General features: G+C 43.6%; 1 protein-coding gene across 1 annotated transcript in view; it reads left to right on the forward strand.

Annotated features, from left to right (window-relative positions):
* The window catches only part of PDE6C (phosphodiesterase 6C), a 53,474-nt gene continuing 29,947 nt past the window's right edge, over positions 525-24,051 (forward strand). The window contains exons 1-10 of the mRNA NM_006204.4: positions 525-1,193; positions 8,620-8,772; positions 8,879-8,968; positions 9,920-10,060; positions 13,563-13,637; positions 14,628-14,692; positions 14,793-14,859; positions 17,246-17,293; positions 22,746-22,895; positions 23,485-23,628. Coding sequence (NP_006195.3) covers positions 714-1,193; positions 8,620-8,772; positions 8,879-8,968; positions 9,920-10,060; positions 13,563-13,637; positions 14,628-14,692; positions 14,793-14,859; positions 17,246-17,293; positions 22,746-22,895; positions 23,485-23,628 — 1,413 coding nt within the window. The 5' untranslated portion in view covers positions 525-713. The remainder of the gene's footprint in view (positions 1,194-8,619; positions 8,773-8,878; positions 8,969-9,919; positions 10,061-13,562; positions 13,638-14,627; positions 14,693-14,792; positions 14,860-17,245; positions 17,294-22,745; positions 22,896-23,484; positions 23,629-24,051) is intronic.

Genomic DNA, 24,051 nt, shown 5'->3' on the forward strand with positions numbered 1-24,051 from the left:
GAGGTTTACTCCTTTAAAACACTTCTGAGGTCAAGCTTTCTGAAGTGACAGGGATTGAGAGGTGAAGGTTCTAGAGAAAGAGGAGGCCAAGCAACCTTGGTGATCAAAAGACTTTTAAGAAAAGGAAAGATTAATATTCACCTTTATGTTGCAGTGATGCAAACTGTTCCATATCTCCCAGATGTTCATTACAGTTGCTATATAAACAAAAAAAATCCAAGCACTTCCGAGGTCTAAATAGTTTTACTTCCTATAGCTATCATACAAGAACGATTCAAAGTGCCAATTGTTGCCAATGTCGTGTCATTCATGGATATGTCAGTGATTCTTCCTTGCTGTGGACAGCAGCCGACATTCAGTTATTTTTCTGGAATAGACACCTCAGCTTGCTACTTGCTGGGCTGATCTAAGATACTCTGAAGATTCGCTAGGGACTTATGAGCTACTAATGCTCAGGGATTTAGTGTCCTGAAGAACTCTTTAATCCTGTGCTTCCTGAATCCCACCCTAAGCCAGGGCCTTCTGTCACATCCCAAGAGTTACAGGCAGTTTGAAAGCTCTGCTTTCTGCTTGACCTTTGGAAGTCCTATGAGGGACCATTTACGGTTTCCTCAGTAATTTCCACCAGGATGAATTTCCTTCTCATCACTCTGCCTCAGGTAGTGCTCTGAAGGTCGTCCTTTCTGAACAAACGCAGCAAAGCAAGCCACACCATGGGTGAGATCAACCAAGTTGCCGTGGAGAAATACCTGGAGGAGAACCCTCAGTTTGCCAAGGAGTACTTTGACAGGAAGTTGCGGGTGGAGGTGCTGGGAGAAATCTTCAAGAACAGCCAGGTGCCAGTCCAGTCCAGCATGTCCTTCTCTGAGCTGACCCAGGTGGAGGAGTCAGCCCTGTGCTTGGAGCTGCTGTGGACCGTGCAGGAGGAGGGGGGCACCCCAGAGCAGGGGGTTCACAGGGCCCTGCAGAGGCTGGCCCACCTGCTCCAGGCTGACCGCTGCAGCATGTTCCTGTGCCGGTCCCGGAACGGCATACCTGAGGTGGCCTCTAGGTTGCTGGATGTCACCCCCACCTCCAAGTTTGAGGACAACCTGGTGGGCCCTGACAAAGAAGTTGTGTTTCCATTGGACATTGGGATAGTGGGTTGGGCTGCTCACACGAAGAAAACTCATAATGTCCCAGATGTGAAAAAGGTAGGTGGCCTTATGACAGTGGGGCAGAGGTCTTGGCAGGGTCAGGGAGGAACAAATGGGAAAGAGAGATAGTGCTATCCTTGTGGCATTAGTTTGGCAATAACCGGGGGAATGTGGGTGGCAGGGAAGAGGATCACCCAGGCCTAGTGTTGCCAAATTTAGCAAATGAAATTTCAAGTTGCCCAGTTGAACTTGAATTTCAGATAAACAATGAATTATTATTTTCTGAAGTATAAGTATGTCCCATGTAAAGTTTGGCATTTTATCAGGTGATCCTACCTGGCCCTGGTGCATTCCACACACCCTCCCTTACGCCTCCTCCAGTGCTCTGGGGGACTTTCCTTCTCAGCAACACCAGCAAAACAAACTACCCCACTAGGGAGATGGGCCAACGTGCCCAGATGCCAAGACTTGTGAACTGCTCCCCATGCCTCTCATTCACAGTCCTTCGAAAACATTCAGGTTTTTTGGATGGATTTGCTAGTAAATCAATTCTTTCATCTATCGACCAAATGTGCAAAGAGAAAAAATGATGCCATTTGAAAGTTCAGATGTTCAAATTTGGAATTCATTACATATGTGAATTTAGGTGATGGTTAAGTGCAATTGACCACTCCCACTGCTCCATAACCCAGATCTTTCAAGAATGAATTCCAATCAAGTAAGTGGGACATTTGGACCCTCTTGAAGACCAACAGCATACTGCACAAATACAAGGCATTGAGATGCCCCTTATAGAAATAGAAAAACTTTATTCTTACCATTAGAGTACATGTTCATTTTTAAACAATTATAAGATACAAATAAACCAGAGGAGGAAATGCTAATCACCCATCATCCCTCCCCTCAGCAATAATCAAGGGTACCAGCTTGGAGATTCTCCTGGCAGCTCCTTCTCTACACATGTGGTCCATTATTACAGTTTACCATTAACAAAAAGGGAAAAGTGGATTATGATGGAACAGAGTTGAATGGGAACAACTTGTGAAATGCTTTCTGTGCAGGGGTGTATAGGGCAGCTGGAGAGGCAGGAGGATAATCTCCTAAATGCCTCCTGAAGCTGATTATAGGGGGAGGGTCACACGGACCCAAGAGGTGTGGAAGTCATCAAACACGAGTGACTCTCTGCAAACAACCACAGAACACCGCTCAGGTGCAAGGGTTACCATGGGGCCTGGTAGGGCTTCAGTCCTGAATAATTCCTCCTTTCAGTAAGTTTAAGCTGGGTTAAGTTTGCTTTTGAGCCTGACTGCAGCTGCTTCAAGTGTCTAAATGGATGCTCATCCTTAGGGCAAAGTTCTCTAGACAACCAACTGGAAGGCAATGTCTGCACATCCTGAGGTTTTTCTCATGGGAATACGCTCCTTGAGGGTCCCCAACTGAGCCCATCCCTGCTAGCACATCAAACTTGAAAAAGTGACATTCAGCAATTTTTTGAAAGGCTTTTAAAGAAGAGATGGGTAAAATGATTTCTGCTGTTATACTTTGATTAGCCCAGTTCTCTGTGGTGAGAAGGAAATAAGAGCATGGAGCTGCTTGGAGGTGGTTTTGGTCTGCGGCTGTCCATGGTGAGCATCACGGCATGGACGGAGCACTTCATCTGGGAGTGGGGAGTCTCTCCTCTCTTCTCTGGAGGACTCCTGGCTGTTCTGGGTGGGACACAGAGAAATGTGTGTTGAAGACAGATACGGTTCTGTGCTCACGAGAAAGAGACCTCATTGGTTCTTCATTTCAACTGCTTCTTCACATTTTTTTCTCTCTAGAGTGGGGATTCCAACTCTGGCTGTACATTAAAACCATATTAAGCTGTGTGCAGTGGCTCACGCCTGTAATCCCAGCATTTTGGGAGGCCACGGCGGGTGGATGGCTTAAGCCCAGGAGTTCGAGACCAGGCTGGCCAACATGGGAAACCCCCGTCTCTACCAAAAATACAAAAATAAGCCAGGCATGGTGGTGTGTGCCTGGAGTCCCAGCTACTTGGAAGGTTGAGATGGGAGGATGGCCTGAGTCTGGGAGGCCAAGGCTGCAGTGAGCTGTGTTCACACACTGCACTCCAGCCTGGGTGACAGAATGAAACCCTGTCTCAAAAAATAAACACAATCCACAAAACCATATTGGTGGCTTTATTGTTACAGCGGACTCTCAAAGATTAGAATTCAGGCATTAGTATTTTTATTTTATTATTTATTTATTTTTGAGACAGTCTTGCTCCATCACCCAGGCTGGAGTGCGATGGCGCTATCTTGGCTCACTGCAACCTCTGCCTCCCGGGTTCAAGCAATTATCCTGCCTCAGCATCCTGAGTAGCTGGGACTACAGAGGTGCGCCACTATGCCTGGCTAATTTTTGTATTTTTAGTAGAAACGGGGTTTCACCATGTTGGCCAGGCTGGTACTGAACTCCTGACCTCAGGTGATCCACCTGTCTCGGACTTTCAAAGTGCTGGGATTACAGGCGTGAGCCACTGCGCCCGGCCCAGGCATTGGTATTTTTAAAAAGCTCCCCCAGCTACTTCTAATATGCAGCCAATGTTGAAAACCACTGGTCTCTTGGGTAAGCAGATACAGGAGGAGGAAGTGAATTTCAAATCAGCTGTGGAATATTAGAGATGGAAGGGGCTTATGAAGTCTTTAGCCCAACTCTGTCCTATGGAGGACAGGAAGTTGAGGCCATAGGAGTTGTATATCCCCCGGGTCCATGGTGTGTGTCTGTGGATGAGGAGGGTTGGAACGGAGGTGGCTGAGTATGTGTCCAGTGCTGTTTGCCTACCTTACACCCCTGCAGTTTCACTTGCTTTAGCCGCTGCAGTAAGATTTGCAACGGGAAAGGAAGTAGAAACCAATGTTTCAAATGAAATATCTGATTAATTCTTCCTCTTTTCATTGCACTTGACAATTTAAACAACATTCTCTGACAAGGGTCATATTTTTATTTCCAGCCTGTGTAGTAGGAATCGTTCAAAGTTAGGTAGACAGGAAGTGGCAGATCTGGGGCAATAACTCAGGTCTTGGAGGCCTCCCTCTTTCTACCATATCCCTGACCACACACAACTTTCCTCTGGCTAGCAGTGTGGGCGCAGGTGAGGGAAAGACTTCTCACACCTAGACAAAGGTACAGAACTACATACTCCCAACCTTGGAGGGTCCATGAAGGTAACAGGGAAGCCACTAGTATAGGGAGAGGGCTGTGGCATCAGACAGACCTGGGTGAAGATCCATGTCTGTGACGTAGTAACTGTGTGATGGAGTTTCTACCCCTAAGAAATGGAGATAAGCAAATGTACAGATTAAATGTATATAAAGGACCTGACTCATAGTAGATGCTCAATAAATGATAGCTGTGATAATATTGTCATTATGCCAGTAGGCGTTTAGGAGCTGGATATGGTTGGCCAAAAAATGGTCAATGATTATTGCCTGTTTTAAAACAAGTTGAAGGCAGGAAGACTTTTTTTTTTTTTTTTTTTTGAGACGGAGTCTCGCTCTGTCACAAGGCTGGAGTGCAATGGCTTGATCTCGGCTCACTGCAACCTCTGCCTCCCAAGTTAGAGCCATTCTCCTGCCTCAGCCTCCCCAGTAGCTGGGATTACAGGCATGCACCACCATGCCCAGCTAATTTTTGTATTTTTAGTAGAGACAGGGTTTCACCATGTTGGCCAGGCTCGTCTTGAACTTCTGACCTCGTGATCTGCCCACATAGGCCTCCCAAAGTGCTGAGAGGAAGACTTTTAAGAACAGGAAACTGAGAGATATCCTCTTTAAGTTGTTTTTTTCTCTATTCGGAAAGCTGTCCATAAACTATGGGTGATCCTGATTCTGACTGTGGTTTAAAAGTCCTCCTTCCTCTCTCTTCCTTTCCTCCTCTACTTCTGCTTTGGATCTCAGGGGTTAAGGGTGTTTAATCAGGATTTAGCAATACTGACATCTGATGAGGGATCAGGCCTCCTGTTGCTCTAAACAATGTTCTCCAGCTGCCTTCAAGGGCTTCTCTGAAGAACCATCAAGGGACACACGCAGGATTTATGCAAAGAAACTTCGCTAAGGATTTTTTGAGCTAGTGAAAATAAAACACAAAAACCCCTCCCCCATCCCCATCCTGTAACTTAATGGCTGGTTTATCTAGGGCTTTCAGATGCAATAATAAGCAAGTATCAAATTTTGAAACTTACAAGCCATTTTCTCAAAACAGTCCATTGAACTTAACATTTCCTTGTGTTTAGAATCTGGAATAAAATGGCATTAAGTTTGAAGCTGCAGAGTGAAATGTGTTTGCAAAGAAGTGCTGCCAGCTAAGCATGGTGGCTTACACCTGTAATCTCAGCACTTTGGGAAGCTGAGGTGGGCAGATCACCTGAGGTCAGGAGTTTGTGACCAGCCTGGCCAACACAGTGAAAACCTGTCCCTACTAAAAATACAAAAATTAGCCAGGTGTGGTGGCAGGTGTCTGTAATCCCAGCTACTTAGGAGGCTGAGGCAGGAGAATCACTTGAACCTGAAAGGTGAAGCCTGCAGTGATCAGAGATCACGCCATTGCACTCTAGCCTGGGCAACGAGAGCAAAACTCTGTCTCAAAAAAAAGAAAGAAAGAAGTCCTGGCTAACTTCACCCCATGGTGCACATTTCTGGTATTTCGATGATTCCTTTAGTGCCCAGGCTGTGTAAATGAAGGTGATGTGATCTGCATGGATAACAGGGTGGAAGGGAAACAATGGGAGCTGGCCTAGACAAGCAGTGGATTAAGAGAAAGAATCTAACAAAAACTGCAGACACTTTGGTCTGAGGGTGAAGATGCTATGGGGAACCAGAGAGAGGTAACAGATAAAATGGATAGAAAAGAAATGTGGTTCTTGGTGGCATGAGTGAGGGAGTGTGCTGGCCTTCTGGAGGAAGGGTGCTCCGCGGTATGGGAGGCCTACATCCAGCTATGGGCATCTGATTTCTTCAGTGATTTGAATTGGCTAGAAAAATTAAAACTAGAAGCAAAATGGTAATTGCAAAAGAACTACTTCTCATTCAGGAAAGCCTAGAAAAGTACTAAGTTTCTCTTCCTAGTACTTACTGAATACTATGTGCCAGACACTCTTTTTTTTTCTAAGTGCTCAGCCTATACTATGTTATTCTATCTTCACATCAGGAATTCTAGGCAGTAGATGGAAGCATTACCCCTATTTTCAGATTACAAAACGAGGACACAGAAGGTAAGTAACACGCCCAGGACCATACAGCTAGTACACTGGGGCCCAGTTTCAGCCAAGAAAGTCTGACTCCAATACCTTCCTTGCCTTTATGCAATGCTGATGCCTCAAGAGTTGGTTTGTGTGTTTCCACTTTGGGAAAGGTATAGAAGAGATCTGGAGTGAGGGGCTGCCTTTATCCCCTTTACATCACATATTTCCTCTGAGAGCGGTACCATTTCTGGTGATCCTCTGCAGGAGTGATTCCCCATTGGGTTGAGCCTAAGAATTACCTGGGCCACGTAAAAGTGCAGGTTCCACTGTAGGAGATTAGGATTCAGTGCATCTGCTGCATTAATCTGCAGGTGATTCTGAGGCATATCTCAGGACTGCTAATCTCATTTGAGCTCTGTGAGTTCTATTGGCCAACCAGCCCTTGTTCCCTGGTGGAAACTCTGGCCTGGAAATGACACACCCAGAAAATTCTCACATTTTTTTCTACGGGAAACCAGACAGAATCCAGTCTGCAAGGTTTGTGCTGCTTTTAGAAGCACTGCCAACACAGGGAAATGAAAATAATACAACTGTGGAAGGAATACCGCACTAATTTTGGCCAACGAGTCTCAGAGTTAAGGCTGAAGTTCAGTTCTAATTGAAGAAGTCCTAGGTTCAAAGGGAAGAATGTCATGACCCAAGGAAGGCTGGGTCTAAACCCACCGTGAGTGGCTATTCTCTGAAATGATAACTAATAAGATAATTGCCTTCCTTGACCTTTTTCTCAAGCCCTTCCATTTGTGCGCTTCTCCAGACTCATTACTCAGCCTCTGCTATGGCCAGTGGATTAGAATTATCTCTCGAATCTACTCTATGAGGTCTGAATCTGGGAAGATCCACTTTCCTCTCTCCCAGAGAAAGAAAAAAAAATAGGAATGGAAGACATAAGCCTGGTAGAACATTAAAAACCTGATAAGCATCTGATGCTGGCAAGAGGGTAGTCCTTGGTCCTTTCACACAGGGTCAGTGGAAGTTAGAATGTGAACCTTTCTTTTTCTTTTTCTTTTTTTTGAGATAGAGTTTTGCTCTTGTTGCCCAGGCTGGAGTACAATGGCGCGATCTTGGCTTACTGCAACCTCTGTCTCCCGGGTTCAAGCGACTCCCCTGCCTCAGCCTCCTGAGTAGCGGAGATTACAGGGGCGTGCCACCACGCTTGGCTAGTTTTTGTATTTTAGTAGAGACAGGGTTTCATCATGTTGGCCAGGCTGGTCTCGAACTCCTAACCTCAGGTGATCCGCCTGCCTTGGCCTCCCAAAGTGCTGGGATTACAGGCATGAACCACCCCGCCCAGCCTCAGAATGTGAACCTTTCATCAAAGTAATCTATGTAAAGAAAAACTGTATGTTCCTGTGGATCCAGCAAAAGGGATTTCCTTTTTTGGGAATCTGTCACATAAAAATAAAAGCAAGAAGGATTAGTGCAGTATTGTTGGTAGTGGGGAAAACTATACACAGGCAAAATCAGTAAAGGACAGTTGAGTGGATCATAAAGCACCCAGGGTGGAGTAGTGTGCACAAATCTAAGAGGTGAGTTCACATCCATATGCATTGGTCTTCAGGGAAGTCCCTAAGACATTGTTAAGTGATGAAACTATTATAAGCAATTAGAAAAGGAAATTTTAGAAAAAATAGAAAACTCTTTGTTCAAGCATGGAGAAAGGCATAGGAGACACACCAGCAGTTAGCACGGATTTCTTCTAGTAGGCTAGATTGGAAGGAACTGGGGGCAATGATAATTTTTGCTTTATGTTATGACATATGGGTTGATGATTTCAAGTGCATGTTTTCCCTTTGTAATGAGAGAGAAGCGCTCTATGAACTGTGTCTGTATTCCTAGCTGTGCTCTCCTTCCCTGCATGTACTTGCTGTCTATTGTAACCTTGTGCCTTCCCCTCTCTTCCTCTTAGCACCTCACTTTCCACTTGGCTGTCTGATCACCTCTTTTCTTCTGGCCCAACCTCAGCCTAACCTAAATAGGCCATAGCTCAGGTTGGCAGCGCTTATTCTGAAATGGGCAATTCCATTCTATGCAGTCATAGGATGGCAGGTGGAGTGGGATTGTTTACTGGGGACCACTGTACTGGAGCCCTGGTTATCTGTTGGTAGCATTTAAATGAGAGAGAATGATCTGTCATCATCCCTAGATCTACCACTCTATGATTTTGTGCCACTTTGACAAATATGTGACTGTCTCTTTCAGAACAGCCATTTTTCTGACTTCATGGACAAGCAAACTGGGTATGTCACTAAGAACCTGCTGGCAACCCCGATCGTGGTGGGCAAGGAGGTTCTTGCTGTGATCATGGCAGTTAACAAAGTAAATGCATCTGAATTTTCCAAACAGGATGAAGAGGTAATGCTAACCCTGGGCATCTGGTTGGAGGCTCAGGAAATTTATTTGTTGTATAACCAAAGAAAAGATGTCACAACCATAACTTGTTATTCTCTGCCGTCTGTAGGTCTTTTCCAAATACCTCAACTTTGTGTCTATCATCCTAAGGCTTCATCACACCAGCTACATGTACAATATTGAATCCCGAAGAAGCCAGGTAAAAGGAAGGCAGCATTAGTCATTCCATGCTGACCTATTCTGACAAAGCCGCCCAGAGACAACAAATTCAGACCCCTCCTATTCCTCCTGGGGGTGTAAGCCACGTGGAACAGATCCCCAAACTTCAGTCCCACGTGTCCTCTCATGATCTTCCCGCCACTCTCCCCACACACACTCCCCTGCACCCCAAGCTCTCCAATTGTGTACACAACTGGCTTGGCTTTCTTCAGTCTAGATCCCGAGTGGACTTGGCATTTCTGTCTATGAGATGGTGATGACAATAATGGTACCTACTTCAGATGGTTGTTGTGACTATTAGCGATTAGCTCTCAAATAAAGTTTGTAGAAATTCCTGGGTCATAGTAAACCTATTAATTTGAGGAGCATATTATTCCTAACTCCATGAGACAGAGGGATAAAGGGCACTATTAGTACCTAAGATACCTAGGTCTGGCCCACTCTCTGGACCTCAGTTTCCTCACCAGTACAATGCACGAGTAGAGGTTGAGAGGGAGGTCCCTTCCCGTTTGAACTCTCCAGGTAAGGTTACCTCTGACTATCTCAGGATGCATGGAAGGAGGTATGTGGCTCTCTCCACATCAGGGCCAGCAGGAGCCAGTGGGCCACCGATACTGGATTCTCCGTCCAGGGACCATCCCTGCATCCCATTTCAGGGCACTTCCCCTTTGGAGCCAAAACATCTAGACACAGGAACCAATCATAGCTTCTCTCTCTCCATAGACCCGCAGCCTTGCAAAAGTCTACTCATCATCTCACCTAGAGGATCTGAGTAGTTTGTTGGATGTACACATGTTCAAAATCAGAATTGCACTTTCCAATGATATGCATTTATTTTATTTGATGCACCTCATGTTTTCTTGTGGTGAATGCTCTATCTCTCCATAGCATACTTTATTCTAACTGTTTTCTTTTTGATACCTACTTTCAGATCCTTATGTGGTCAGCCAATAAAGTATTTGAAGAACTCACAGATGTTGAGCGACAGTTTCACAAAGCGCTCTACACGGTTAGATCATATCTGAACTGTGAACGATACTCCATTGGACTGCTGGACATGACCAAGGAGAAGGTTCTTATTATTCTACACATTTTGTCTCATCTCACATCGCCTATATAACACACACCACAGGAAATGTGATCCTTAAAAAACAGATACACTATGTAAATAATTAGTCATGATTGATGACAAGAACAGAGGTAAAAGTGTGTGTCTTGGAGCAAAAAAGATGTAGGCTTGAATCTTGGTTTTTCCACTTCCTAGTAATATGGGTTTTCAGCAAGTCTGTTTTTTTTTTACATTAATTAATAGACTATTTTTAGAGTAGTATTGACAGAAAAATTGATTATAAAGTACGGAGTTTCCTCTTCCCTCCCAATCTCCTCTCCCAGTTTCCCTGTTATTAATATCTTGCATTAGTGTGGTGTGATGAATCAATATTGATATATTATTATTAACTAAAGTCCATAGTTTACATGAGGGTTCATCCTTTGTGCAGTTCTCTGGGTTTTGACAAATGTGTAATGTCATATATCTGCTACTACAGTATCAGACAGACTACTTTCAGTGCCTCAAAGCCCTCTGTGCTTCACATATTCAACCTTTCCTCACCCCTTCCAAACTCCTGGTAGCCACAGGTTTTTTTTTTGTTTTTTTTTTTGTTGTTTTTTTTTTTTTGCTGTTTCTATAGTTTTTGCCTTTTCCAGAATGCCATATAGTTGGAATCATACAGTATGTAGCTTTTCAGACTGGCTTTTCACTTTGAAATATGCATTTAAGTTTCCTCCATGTCTTTTCATGACTCAATAGCTAATTTCTTTTTATCACTGAATAATATTCCACTGTATGGCAGGTTTGTGTATCCATTCACCTGTTGAAGGGTATCTTGGTTGCTTCTAATATTTAGTGATTGTGAATAAAGCTGCTATAACCATTGTAGGTAGGTTTATGTGTGTCTACATGTTTTCAACTCAATTGGGTAAATACCGAATAGGGCAATTGCTGGATTATACTGTAAGACAAATTGATCTTTGTAAGAAACTGGCAGACTGTCTTCCAAAGTGACTTTACTGTTTTGCATGTCTACCAGATGCACTTTCTCACCAGCAGTTGTTAATGTCAGTATTTTGGGTATTAGCAGTTGCTGATGTTAGTATTTGGGGTATCAGTTGTGGTATCTCATTGTTGTTTTAATTTTCAGTTCCCCAATGACATATGATGTTGAGCATCTTCTCATATGTTTACTTGCCATCTGTATATCTTCTTAGAGAGATAGCTGCTCAGATTTTTTGCCCACATTTTTTTATGTTGTTTTCTTATCATTCAATTGTAAGAGTTATTTGTATATTATGGGTCCAAGTCCTTTACCAAATATGTGATTTGCAAATACTTTCTCCCAGTCTGTGGCTTATCTTTTCATTCTCTTAACAGTGTCTGCTGCAGAGCAGAAGGTTTTAATTTTAATGAAGTCCAATTTTTCTATATTTTTTCTTTCATGGATTGTGCTTTTGGTGCTGTATCTATGAAGCCTCATCAAACCCAAGTTCACCTAGATCTTCTATGTCATCTCCTAGAATTTTTATACTTTTGTGTTTTACATTTAGGTGTATAATCCATTTTGAGTTATTTTTTGTGAAAGGTACAAGTTCTGTTTCTAGATTCACTTTTTTTACATGTAGATGTTCAGTTGTTCCAACAAAATTTGTTGAAAAGACTATCCTTTGTTCATTGCCTTTGCGCCTTTGTCCAAGTTAACTATATTTGTAAGGGTCTATTTCTGGGTTCTCTATTTTGTTTCATTGATTCATTTGTCCATTCTTTCACTAATACCACACTGTCTTGATTATTGCAGCTTCATGGCAAATCTTAAGTCAGGTAGTGTCAGCTTTTTGATTTTGTTCTTCTTGTCAGCAAGTCTTTTAACCTACCTGATTCTTGGCTTCTTCATCTGTAAAATGAGGACATCTCTCTTATCAATTGTGAGAATTAGAGATTTTATATATTTTTTTATATATATAAACACTATATGTACATAGTGTCTAGAATTTACACAGTAGGTGGATAATCAATATTATCTTTACCAACTTTAGGTTTTTGTATTCTAAAAAAATTTAATTAAAGTAGAAATATTGAAACATGTAATATTATTCACAATATAATGCCCTTGTGTCATCTTCTTTAATTCTGTTGCTACCCTTCTAGTTCAAAATAACTAACGATACCATATTATTTATATATTTTTTCTTTTGTTTTCTTTCCTTTTTTTGAGACTCTGTCTTGGTCTGTCACCAGGCTGGAGTGCAGTGGCATGATCTTGGCTCACTGCAACCTCAGCCTCCCAGGTTCAAGCGATTCTCATGCCTCAGTAGCTGGGATTATAGGCCTGTACCACCACGTCCACTGATTTTCGGTATTTTAGTAGAGACAGGATTTCGCCACGTTGGCCAGACTGGTCTCGAACTCCTGTCCTCAAGTGATCCGCTCGCCTTGGCCTCTCAAAGTGCTGGGATTACAGGCATGAGCCACCGCACCTGGCCTTATTTATATTTCTTCATATTCATGTGATTGGAAGTTATTTTTTCAGAGTAATTGTTCTAAGTGGATAAACATAGGATGAAGCACTAGGAGAGCTGGGTTCTGATCTTGGTTCTGGGACTTTGTAGCTGAGTATGTTGGTTAGGATTCTTTTGGCTATAAGAAACATCAGACACAGCTAAAAGCATCTCTAACAATATGATATTTATTCTCCTACTTAACAAGGTAGGGCAGCGCTAGTACTGGTTGATTCAGAGATCAGTGCAGTCATTAAAGTCCAGGTGCTTTCTCTTTCTTCCTGGCAAGGTCTCTGCTACCTGCAGCGTGCTGGTGAGGCCTCCTCTTATGGTGGAAAGATGGCTGTTGCAGCTCAAATCATTGGCACATAGGCATGACACAACTGGGAGGCATTTTCTCCAAATGTCACTCTCATCAGCTTTTATCTGAGGAATACCTTTTGCCAGTAGTCCCTCAGCAGACTTCTCCCCCTTCTTCAATGTCCAGATCTGGGCCACATACCTGCCCTTAAACTGATCTAGGCACCTCATGTAGACCACTCATGGGCTGTGGTCTGATGGAAAATTACCACCTGATACTCAAATCGCATCAGGTTATGCTAGCAAGGAAAAGACAGAGAATGAATGTTGGGTAAAGCAACCAACATTTTGCCACTCTGTGTGACCTTGGCCAAGCCTTTTACCAGATTTAGCTTAATTGTCTATGAAAGAATTGCTATACATTGAGTATTTTGAACTATGTGCCAGGGTAGATGTTACATATGTATTATTCATTTAATCCTCACAACAATTCTTTAGTACAAATTCTATTGTTATCCCTATTTTACAGATGTAAAAGGTTAAGTAACATGTTAACAGTCAAAAATTCCTAACCAGTATTGCTGGGAATTGTAGATCTTTCAGCACTAAAATTCCAGAATTACGTAGATTAACATAAAATATACAAACACATAAAATTCATATAAGATATGGTAGGTCATGGAACAGTGTGTTTAATGATACTTAAATCTGATTGCCTCCAGGAATTCTACGATGAATGGCCAATCAAGCTTGGAGAAGTAGAGCCTTATAAAGGTCCAAAGACACCTGATGGCAGGGTACGTGCAAATGTCTTCCTTGATGCCATCTGTGCATGGTGTCAGGTGCTAAAATTAAGAGGCCACAGTGCATAGAGCACTGGCCTGGGAAGACCTGGAGTAGTAGAAACAGCACTAGACAAGGAGTTTGAGGTTCTAGTCCCAGCTATGCCCCAAGCTAGAGCTGATTGGCCCCTGCCTTAACTCCTTGTTGAACCTCTCCGTTTCCTTTTCTATAAAGCCAGGGCTTGGTAGACCAGTGGTTCTCAACTGGAAGGGATGCATCAGAGCCACCTGCACAACATTTTAAAGAAGTACCTGGGCCCTTCTTCAGATATGTGGGATTAGAATCTCTAAGGAAGGGTTGGGTTAGGTTTACTTTCCCCCTTGACTGCAAGCTTCATGAAGGCAGAAACCCCTGTGTCCATAGCACACAGGAAAGAGAAGGGGATGGATTGTGTCCAGGCCTCAGATTCATCATCTGCCCCATGAAACAGAGAGAATAATTCTCTAGTCCCTTTCAGCTTTGGCAGTGAAACCTCCTGTTTCTGAGGCACCTGTTCAGATAAGTCACTGATGAAAGGAGGGTACGGGTCACTATATATAATGTAAAACTGACTACAGTTAAGAAATTACATGATTTGTTCTAGTGAAGTTATTAATGTCAGGTATTTCTGGACAACAAAAGGGATCACTTGAAAATAAAAACAGACTCTCTGATGATTTGGTAGCCAAAGATCCCCCCCACCCCAAAAGCTGTTTGGGGGCAATTCAACTTTTTAAAAACAAAATTTATTTTAGCCTGTGCATGTAGATAAACAGCCAATAATATTTCTGGTTTTATTATAAGTTTGTAGTCAGGATATAAGTAGTTTGATAATTTATGTTATAATATAATGTGGTTGGGAAATAAGGTTCTATTTGTAAGAGTTTTAAAGTACAAGTTCCCCAATGAAAAATGATTTCTTTGGGAAATAACATTATTCCCATAATATCCTCTTTCTTTCTTAGGAAGTCAACTTTTATAAAATCATTGATTACATTTTACATGGAAAAGAAGAGATCAAAGTGATTCCGTGAGTATTGGCAGGAAGTTGCTGCCGCAGTTGCCGTTGTATTTTTGCACATATTGCATTTCTCTATATTGCAATGATTTTTTTTCTTCTCTTCCCCAAGGACGCCTCCTGCAGACCACTGGACACTCATTAGTGGGTTGCCAACATATGTTGCTGAAAATGGATTTGTAAGTTATTGAACAAATTCAAATTTTAAATAATATTGCAAGAAACTCTTATTAGCTAAGAGATAGATACAATTGTGAAAGCAAGAATGCATCCAATAAAAGCTAGATGGGCCGGGCGCGGTGGCTCATGCCTGTAATCCCAGCACTTTGGGAGGCTGAGGCGGGCGAATCATCTGAGGTCAGGAGTTCGAGACCAGCCTGACCAACATGGTGAAACCCCGTCTCTACTAAAAATACAAAATTAGCTGGGCGTGGTGGCACATGCCTGTAATGCCAGCTACTTGGGAGGCTGAGGCAAAAGAATTGCTTGAACCCAGGAGGTGGAGATTGCAGTGAGCCAAGATCGCGCCATTGCACTCCAGCCTGGGCAACAAAGTGAAACTCCACAAAAAAAAAAAAAAAAAAAAAAAAGCTAGATGATCACTTCCTTTGGCATAGGACAAAGGAGAGAAGAATCTTGACAGTCAAATGTAGGTTAACTGGAGACTTCTGAACTCTACACAGAAATATTTAGTCAGCATGAGAAAGGTTCCTCCATCCCTCAATTTCTTATTCTGCAGCCACACACATTTCAGATATCCTTTGGAATCCAATGACTATGATTTAATGACTGGGTTTAATTCTATCTCAAGTACATCAGTCAATTTTTTAAAGCATAAATATGGGGGATGGGGTGGGGATGGTGTGGGATGTGGAACTTTTCAATATTGAGTTAAAAGCTTGGGCCTCTAAGGTCTTGACCCACCTGTAAATGTTCTTATAACATTTAGAACATAATGTTCTTCAAAGAAAGGACTAAAACAGATAATTGCTGATGAAAAGTTTAAAAAAGAATAGGCTGCTTTTTGCCTCTTCAAAAACACAGTTGAAGGGTGCTCAGCCCATCAAATGATGTAATTTATTCAAGTTAGATCATGAAATTAATGCATGGCATGAAAGATTCCTTAAATTCTTAGGCTATATATGCTTATAAAAACTTTGAAAGATTCTCGCATTTTCTGTGTAAGAGTACTACAAAAATAGTAGACATGGTTCATTCAATTATTCTCAGAAAGCACTTACCTTGGGGCCGAGAGGCAGGCAGAGTTTGGTGAGGTGGGGATTTAAGGAGGGAGCCCACTTAGATCTTGTTAGATTGTTAGTTTTTTAGGACTTTTGTGAGCAAGTTGTTAAACTGTTGGCAGCTTGAAATCTCCCATGGCAAGAGAATTGGGACCATGGAAATTGGCAACTGATACAAGCCAAGGATTTCCCCAATTCCCAGCCAGGAGAGCTGATTTCCCCAGCACCCATTCTGGAGCTCACAGTTCTAGTTCCATCCCATAGATTTAAACAAATCACTTAACCTCTTTAGGCTTCCATTTGTTCATTTTTTTTTTTTAAGTATGAACTTAATTGCTAAGATCCCTTCTGGCTTTAAAATGCTATGATAGCTGGGTGTGGTGGCTCACGCCTGTAATCGTAGCACTTTGGGAGGCCAAGGCAGGTGGATTGCCTGAGGTCAAGAGTTCGAGACCAGCCTGGCCAACATGGTGAAACCTTGTCTTTACTAAAAATACAAAAATTAGTTGGGCTTGGTGGTGGGTGCCTGTAATCCCAGCTACTTGGGAGGCTGAGGCAGGAGAATTGTTTGAACCCAGGAGGTGGAGGTTGCAGAGAGCTGAGATCGCGCCATTGCACTCCAGCCTGGGAAACAGAACAAAAACTCCATCTCATAAAATATAAAAAATAAAATCAAATAAAATGCTATGATTTTAATTATCTCTTGGAAAGACATGGTCTTTTATTAAGATCCATTTGTGATTATGACCCAAGGTACAGAAAACTTAAAATGACCCAAAGTTGAGTGATTTCTTGTCCTTATAGATGTGAGCAATAGTCTGTGAATTCCACTAAGTAAAGTGATATCTCTCACTGAATCCTTACTTTGGTGTAACTAAAAACTTATCTGGCTGTTTCCTCCTGCCTCTTAACCATCATCTTCTAACCCAAATCTCACTTTAGGAAGAAGAAGAAGAAGAAAAAAAGCAATCCTAGCTCTGCTGCTCATACTGGCTGTAGCAGAGCTAGAATTTCTCAGCTTTCTCCTCCCCTTGGCCTGAGCAGCCTGTTGCTTTGAATTTGAAGGGGATTCCCTGGAGTCTGGGGGAGTGGGAAGGGGCAGAGACGGTACCACATATCCTCCAGTGATTTAATTAGCAGCAGGGAAGCCATCTTGAATGAGTTGTTAGCAGCTGTGGCCTAGTTGAGGTCCATTTGCCCGCAAGCAGTCAAGAGCCGTGTAGAAAATCCTCACTCCCAATGCGTTCTTTCTTATTCTGCTTTGTGGATCAAGAGGGCTCCACTACACAATATTTCAGACCATTTGTCTCCTCTTGCCTTCCAGATCTGTAACATGATGAATGCCCCTGCGGATGAATACTTCACATTTCAGGTAACTGCACTCTGGGTCAGACCTCACCTCTTGGGGCTGGGGTAGAGGAGTGGATGCTCTCGCCTCTCCTCCACCCCCAGAGTCCGCCTGATGCTCAGGTGTGGCCACAGGCACACACGGGTCCATCTCCCACTCACCCTGGCTGGGCCAGCAAGTAGCAGATTCTTCAGTGAAGGAAGAAAAGAAGGTTAAGACAGAAGGCCAGGGAGGGGACCTGCCACTCCTCCATTTGCTCACACTCCTGGTCATTTACGGCAGTGGTCCCCAACCTTTTTGGCACCAGGGACCGGTTTTGTGGAAGACAATTTTTCCACAGAATGAGGGTGGGGTGGGAGATGGTTTTGGGATGAAACTTCCACCTCAGATCATCAGGCATTAGTTAGATTCTCATAAGGACGGCACAACCCAGATCTCTCACATGCGCAGTTCACAAGAGGGTTCACACTCCTATGAGAATCTGATGCTGCTGATGATCTGACAGGAGGTGGAGCTCAGACGGTAATGTGAGCAATGGGGAGTGACTGTAAATACAGATGAAGTTTCACCCGAGTACCCACTGCTCTCCTCCTGCTGTACAACCTGCTGGTTCCTAACAGGCCATGGGCCAGTACTGGTTTATAGTCCAGGGATTGGGGACCCCTGATCTAAGGGCTCAACAGTTCCTGACACAGCATTCATGCTCAATAAACGTTCTCTGCATGCATGAATGGCTGGCTACCTCCTACATCCTGAATCCTGCTCTCCTGGTGGTTTTCTCAGCAGCCCTTCCCTGCAGCTTATTGCAACTGTTCTCAGGAAAATCAACAATTCTGACTGAGTCTTCAGAGCTTCTCCTGCTGTTAGACTCGGTTGTATCCTTCCTTCTCCACTGTGCAGAGACCCACTGCCTGGGGAATCTGCCTCCACTCACCGCCAGATGCTCCCAGGAATCAGCTTCTGTATGTGCTACTCTACCTGACCCACTTCTCCCCATCAGGGCTTCCTGCTGGAACCTGGCTGCAGACCCGAGTTGATCCCTCCCCGCCCCCCGAGTTCATCCAGCCCACCAGAAGGGCCAGCCTGTCATCTTCACCACCCCCTCCCCAACTGTCACCCCCCACCTGTCATCTCTGCCACTCCCTTCTCTACCTGCCCATCCCTCCTCACCTGTCATCTCTGCCACCCACTCCCCACCTGTCACCTCCTCCCAACCTGACTGTTAGAGATAAACTGGCATTTGGCTCCACAGCCTCTTATTTTCTGCCTCTGGGCACTTGTTATTCTCTGTCCTGTATTTAAAAAAACATCCCCTTAGAGCCCTGATCTCAGTCACAAATAGAGACTGCCCTCCCCGGTGGGTACCGTTGGGGTCTGTTTTTCTGTCTCTCTCACATACAGAGCCCCATCTCTGCCTTTTAGGAAAAGCCAGCCTTCCCCAGGCTGCAGCGTGCCTCCTTAGCGGCAGAACCACACCACACCTTGGGGAAAGCTGTACACACTTGCTTCGTTACGTGCATCTGCCTGCTCCTCCCTTTGCCGATTGACATGGAAAACATGTAAACACCATATGGCTGCTCTAGCTCCTTCCTCCTTGCAATTGAAGCTTATTTGTGACCATGCTGTGCCCAGGCCTGACCCCTATATTTATGGCACGTGGATGTCAGAATAGGATGCATGTCAGCAAAAGGGCGACAATGATTTTCTAGAGTCTGAACCTTAAGCAGTCATTGTCTAAACAGGGAGTGGGAATGGAGCTGGCCCAGGAGAATGCAGGCTGCTCTGAAATGTGAGGCCCTTTGCTTTCTCTCATGCTCCACTGCAGCTACTGCTCTGATGTGCTCTCATGGCCTGGGCAGAGAGGAGGCCTGGGGCCTCCCCGGGGCCTTGGGGAGTCCCCAGTGTGGGATAAACCTCCAGGCCACAGGGATTTCCCAGTTCTCTGGGAAACATCATTGTGGTGCCCATGAAAATGTGCTTCTCAGATCTCCACCTGTGGGAAGTGTAGCCGTGCAATGGCTGCTGGCCTGAAATCCATGGTCACATCTGTGCTGAGGCCACACGCTCCACAGGCCACTCCCAATTGGTAACTAAGTGTGGCAGGGACAGTAAAGCAGGCCTGCTCCTGGAAGACAGCCAGATACCCTGCCAGGCAGCTTGGGCCCTAGGAATGCCTAACAGCTCTGCAAACAGTTTCAGAACAGCACGGTGGTCTAAGGGGCTCCCCTCAACCTTCCATCCTTCCGTTTCTCCTTTGCAAAGGGTCGGGACTGCATCTCTGTCTGATGTCTCTCTCAGCACCCCCAGCCTCCCTCCCCGCCGCTCTTCAACGGCATCACCTGTGCATCATTCCGCACAGCGGACTAGGACGGGTGACCGCCCTCCCCAAACCACCACCCTCCTTTTGTGCTCCGTCTTCTGATTCTGTCTCTCCCTGCTCAGGCCCCACCCTGATTCTTACGATTCCTTTTTGCACCTGAGAAGTTTGATAGACAAGCCAATGATATAAAAAGAACTGCCATCAGAGCAAACCTGCAAAGGCAGTGGTTCTCACACTATGTTTCTTGGGGGCATAATGGATTCATTTCCTATTGCTGCTGTCACGAATTGCCACTGAGTGGTTTAAAACCACACGAAATGTATTATCTCACAGTTCTGGAGGTCAGAATTCCAAAATGAGTCTTCTTGGGCTAAAATCACGGTGCTGGTGGGACTCTTGCTTTCTGGAGGCTCTGGGGATAATTCATCTCCTTGCCTTTTCCAGCTTCTCAGGGCCTCCCGCCTTCCTTGCCTGGTGACCCTTCCCCTGGCAGAGCCAGCAGCACCATCACTCTGACCTTGCTTTTGTCATCATAGCTCCTTCTCCCATTCTGATTCTAACCTCTCTTCTACTTTTAAGGATCCTTGTAATTACATTGGGTCCACCTGGAACATCCAGGCTAATTTCCCCATCTTAAGGCCAGCTAATTAGCAACCATCATTCTATCTGCAACCTTAGTTCCCCTGTGTTGTGTAAGATAACATATTCACAGGTTCCAGAGATTAGGATATAGACATCTTTGGGGGCCATTGTTCTGCCTGCCATAGGGTTCCTCGAAGTGGACTAAGGGGTCTTCCTTTAACGTCAATTAAAGTGGTCCTAATTCACAGGAGGAAAAGTGTATAGAATTTCCTCAGTTTTTTGTCCTACTAATTTTTCTTAAACCTTGGGTTCCTTCTGTAACTTGTCTGTCAGTAAGGTCTAACTAATGGCAAAGCACAAGAATATGAACTGGTAGCAAATGAATATTTCCTGAAACACTGAGAAGCAGTCAGCAAAGCTTATTTTGGAAGCTTTAACAAATACGCATGAAGTTCTTTCACACGCATGTGATATATTCTCTATTACTGATTTTGTCCTTGGTTCGTATGATGGTGTAAGTACATAAATATTTCTTATTGTTTTCCAAAGATGCAGGCTTTGCAAGCACTATGCACTGCATCTTTTTTCTAAAGCTTTGACCATCAGGAGACGGATGTTGAGGTTTGGTTCCTCTGCTTTTCATTGCATGTATAATGACTACATAGAGTAGTAACAAATTACTTAGATTGAGCACTTATTACATGCTCAGTCTAAATGTTAAATTGTGGTTCAGGCTATAAGTGCAGTTGGAATTCCAAAACAGAAAAGTTCTTTATGAGTTAGAAAAATTAGAAAGGCTTCATGGGAGAGCCAAGACTTAACAGGGGCCTGTAAGGATGACTAAGTAAGCCAAGGGAAGTCTTCAAGAACAAATAATGTGGTGTGTTGAGTGCTTGTCTATCTTTGCCTTAGCTACATACTGTGCAAATGCTACATCATGGTTCTCAAACTTCAGAGGGCATCAGAATTACCTGGGAAGCTTATTGAAGATGCATGCCCAGGCCAGGCATAGTGACTCACGCCTGTAATCCCAGCAGTTTGGGAGGCTGAGGCGGGCGGATCACTTGAGGTCAGGAGTTCAAGATCAGCCTGGCCAACATGGTAAAACCTCATCTTTACTAAAAATACAAAAATTAGCCAGGCTTGGTGGGGCATGCTTGTAATCCCAGCTACTCGTGAGGCTGAGGCAGGAGAATCACTTGAACCTGGGAGGCAGAGGTTGCAGTGAGCCAAGATTGTGCCGTTGTACTCCAGCCTGGGTGACACAGTGAGACCCTGTCTCAAAAAAAAAAAAAAATAAAAAAAAATAAACAAGCTAAAACAAATCTGTTACACATGGTCCTTGGACCACACTTTGAGAAACACTCCTAAACTTTTGTGCCTGCATCCCTCGACTAGACCCTAAGCATCTTGAGGGCAAGACCTGTGATTTATTCTTTGTACCTTCAGCAACTGCCCCAGTTCCTGGCATACCACAGAGGCTTGACAAATGTTTACTCAACTCAACACACCACAGAATGAAAGACTATCTTCATGGATCAGTCAGAAAAACAAAAACCACACTAGTATTTTAACGGGAGAATTTTATTTAAGGAATTAGCTAAACAGGTGTTAGAAGATAGAAAAAGTGTAAAGGGAACAGTGAGGTAACATAGTGGTAAGAAGCACTTCCCATCACTCAGGCTTGGGAAAGAAAGGGAAAAGGTTAGAATTGTCAGAAAACAGACACTTGGTTCTAGTTCACTCTATTGGATGTGCTAGAGTACATATAATGGCTGTATGGTCCTAGCCATGTTCTGACACAAAGTAGGAATTGCACATCTAACACCAAAAGATTACTCTTTCTTTTTTTTTTTTGAGATGGAATTTCACTCTGCTGCCCAGGCTGGAGTGCAGTGGCACGATCTTGGCTCACTGCAGCCTCTGCCTCCTGGGTTCAAGCAATTCTCCTGCCTCAGCCTCCCAAGTAGCTGGGATTACAGGTGCCCACCATCACGCCTGGCTAATTTTTGTATTTTTAGTAGAGATGGGGTTTCACCATGTTGACCAGGCTGGTCTCGAGCTCCTGACCTCAGGTGATCTGCCTCCCAAAGTGCTGGGATTACAGGCTCCAGCCACTGTGCCCAGCCTTTTTCTTTAAATTAAAAATAAACTAAGTGACAGGTGGTTGGGTGGTAGCTAGAAGGGAGGAGTACAGGACAGTCTTGTAGTGATGGAATAGTGTTGTATCTTGATTCTAATGGTGGTTGAAAAGCTACACAAGGGATAAATTTGCATAAAACTATATGTACACACACACATATATGTGCAAAAGTAACTGCATACAAATCTTGGTAAAATCCAAATCAGCTCTGGATCGTACAATGTCTGTTTTCTGGTTTCGATATTGTACTATAGTTACACAAGATGGTAGAAAATGTACTGTAGTTGTCTAACCATCATTACCATTGTGTGAAACTGGGTGAAGGGTACCTGAAATCTCTCTGTACATTTCTTTTGTAATATCCTGTGAATTTATGATTATTTCAAACTAAAAAGGCAAAAAAATAACTTGAGGTCCCTTCTCGTTTGTAGAAAGGACCTGTAGACGAAACTGGTTGGGTCATTAAGAATGTTTTGTCCCTGCCTATTGTCAACAAGAAAGAAGATATTGTGGGAGTGGCTACATTTTACAACAGGAAGGATGGAAAACCTTTCGATGAGCATGATGAATACATTACCGAGGCAAGTGCAATAATAAGATAATGGAAGTCAATGCAATTCACAAAATAAGAGAGGGCACGTAATTATTTGTTATTCTGGAATGATATTTTGAAGGGCCATTAAGACATGAGTCACACATAGCTGTAACCAATATGTTGTTATTTTGTCGTTTCTATTTCCTGACTTCTATAAACTGCAACATTTTCTACCAAAGTATAAAATTTTAGCTTAACCAAAATTTGTAATAATACTCGGAAAACAGGAAAGAGGATTTTCTTCTTCTTTCTCCCACTCCTCCTTCCTGTTCCCTCTCATTCTTATTCTTATTCTTACGCCCAGCCCCCTGCCTAATTTTTAGGTCCTGCTTGACTATACTGGTGTTGGTAACACCTCTCTCTTCTATTCATGGTGCATGGTACACTTTAAAAAGCAATAATTCAGCCAGTTTTATTGTCTGAAGCTGATTATTAGTATGTTTTTCTTAAATTAAAAGAAGGAATGGGGTGGTTGATGATGGAAGGGAGATGGATAGAAAAGCGTGCAGATTGTTGCCTCCAAACCAATTTTTCTTTCACTGAAGAGAATTAGAATCACCTTTTATCCATTTCAGACTCTCACACAATTTCTTGGATGGTCTCTTTTAAATACTGACACCTACGATAAGATGAATAAGCTAGAAAACAGAAAGGACATTGCTCAGGAAATGCTCATGAACCAAACCAAAGCCACTCCTGAAGAAATTAAGTCCATTTTGGTAAGTGGGAAATTCAGTCCTGTGGACATAAGATGTTACCTAACCACATATTCTAGAAGTCATCTAATTACCCAGGGGTCTGACAAATGCAAATGGTTTACTCCTGGGCTGAGAGAGAGAGACAGGGAAGGAGGGGTTGGAAGAAGACATGGATGGCCCAGTGTACAGAGACCCTTACTGGAAGTACAGCTGCTTGGCTGGAATAGCACTTTGTTCAAAACAGCCCTGGGGCTATGGGAGCTATAGCAAGAAAAAAATATATATATTTTAGGAAGGGAAATGTATCAGTCAGCTATTGTCATATAATGCTGCATAACAACAACCCTAACGCCTCAGTGTCATGCAGTAATGAACCTCTATCTCTCACTCACATTTGTGGGTTGACCAGGCTTTGATTGACAGTGGCTGGACTTGGCTCCAAGC

This window comes from Homo sapiens, chromosome 10 (assembly GCF_000001405.40).
Source record: "Homo sapiens chromosome 10, GRCh38.p14 Primary Assembly".
Classification (NCBI taxonomy): Eukaryota; Metazoa; Chordata; class Mammalia; order Primates; family Hominidae; genus Homo; species Homo sapiens.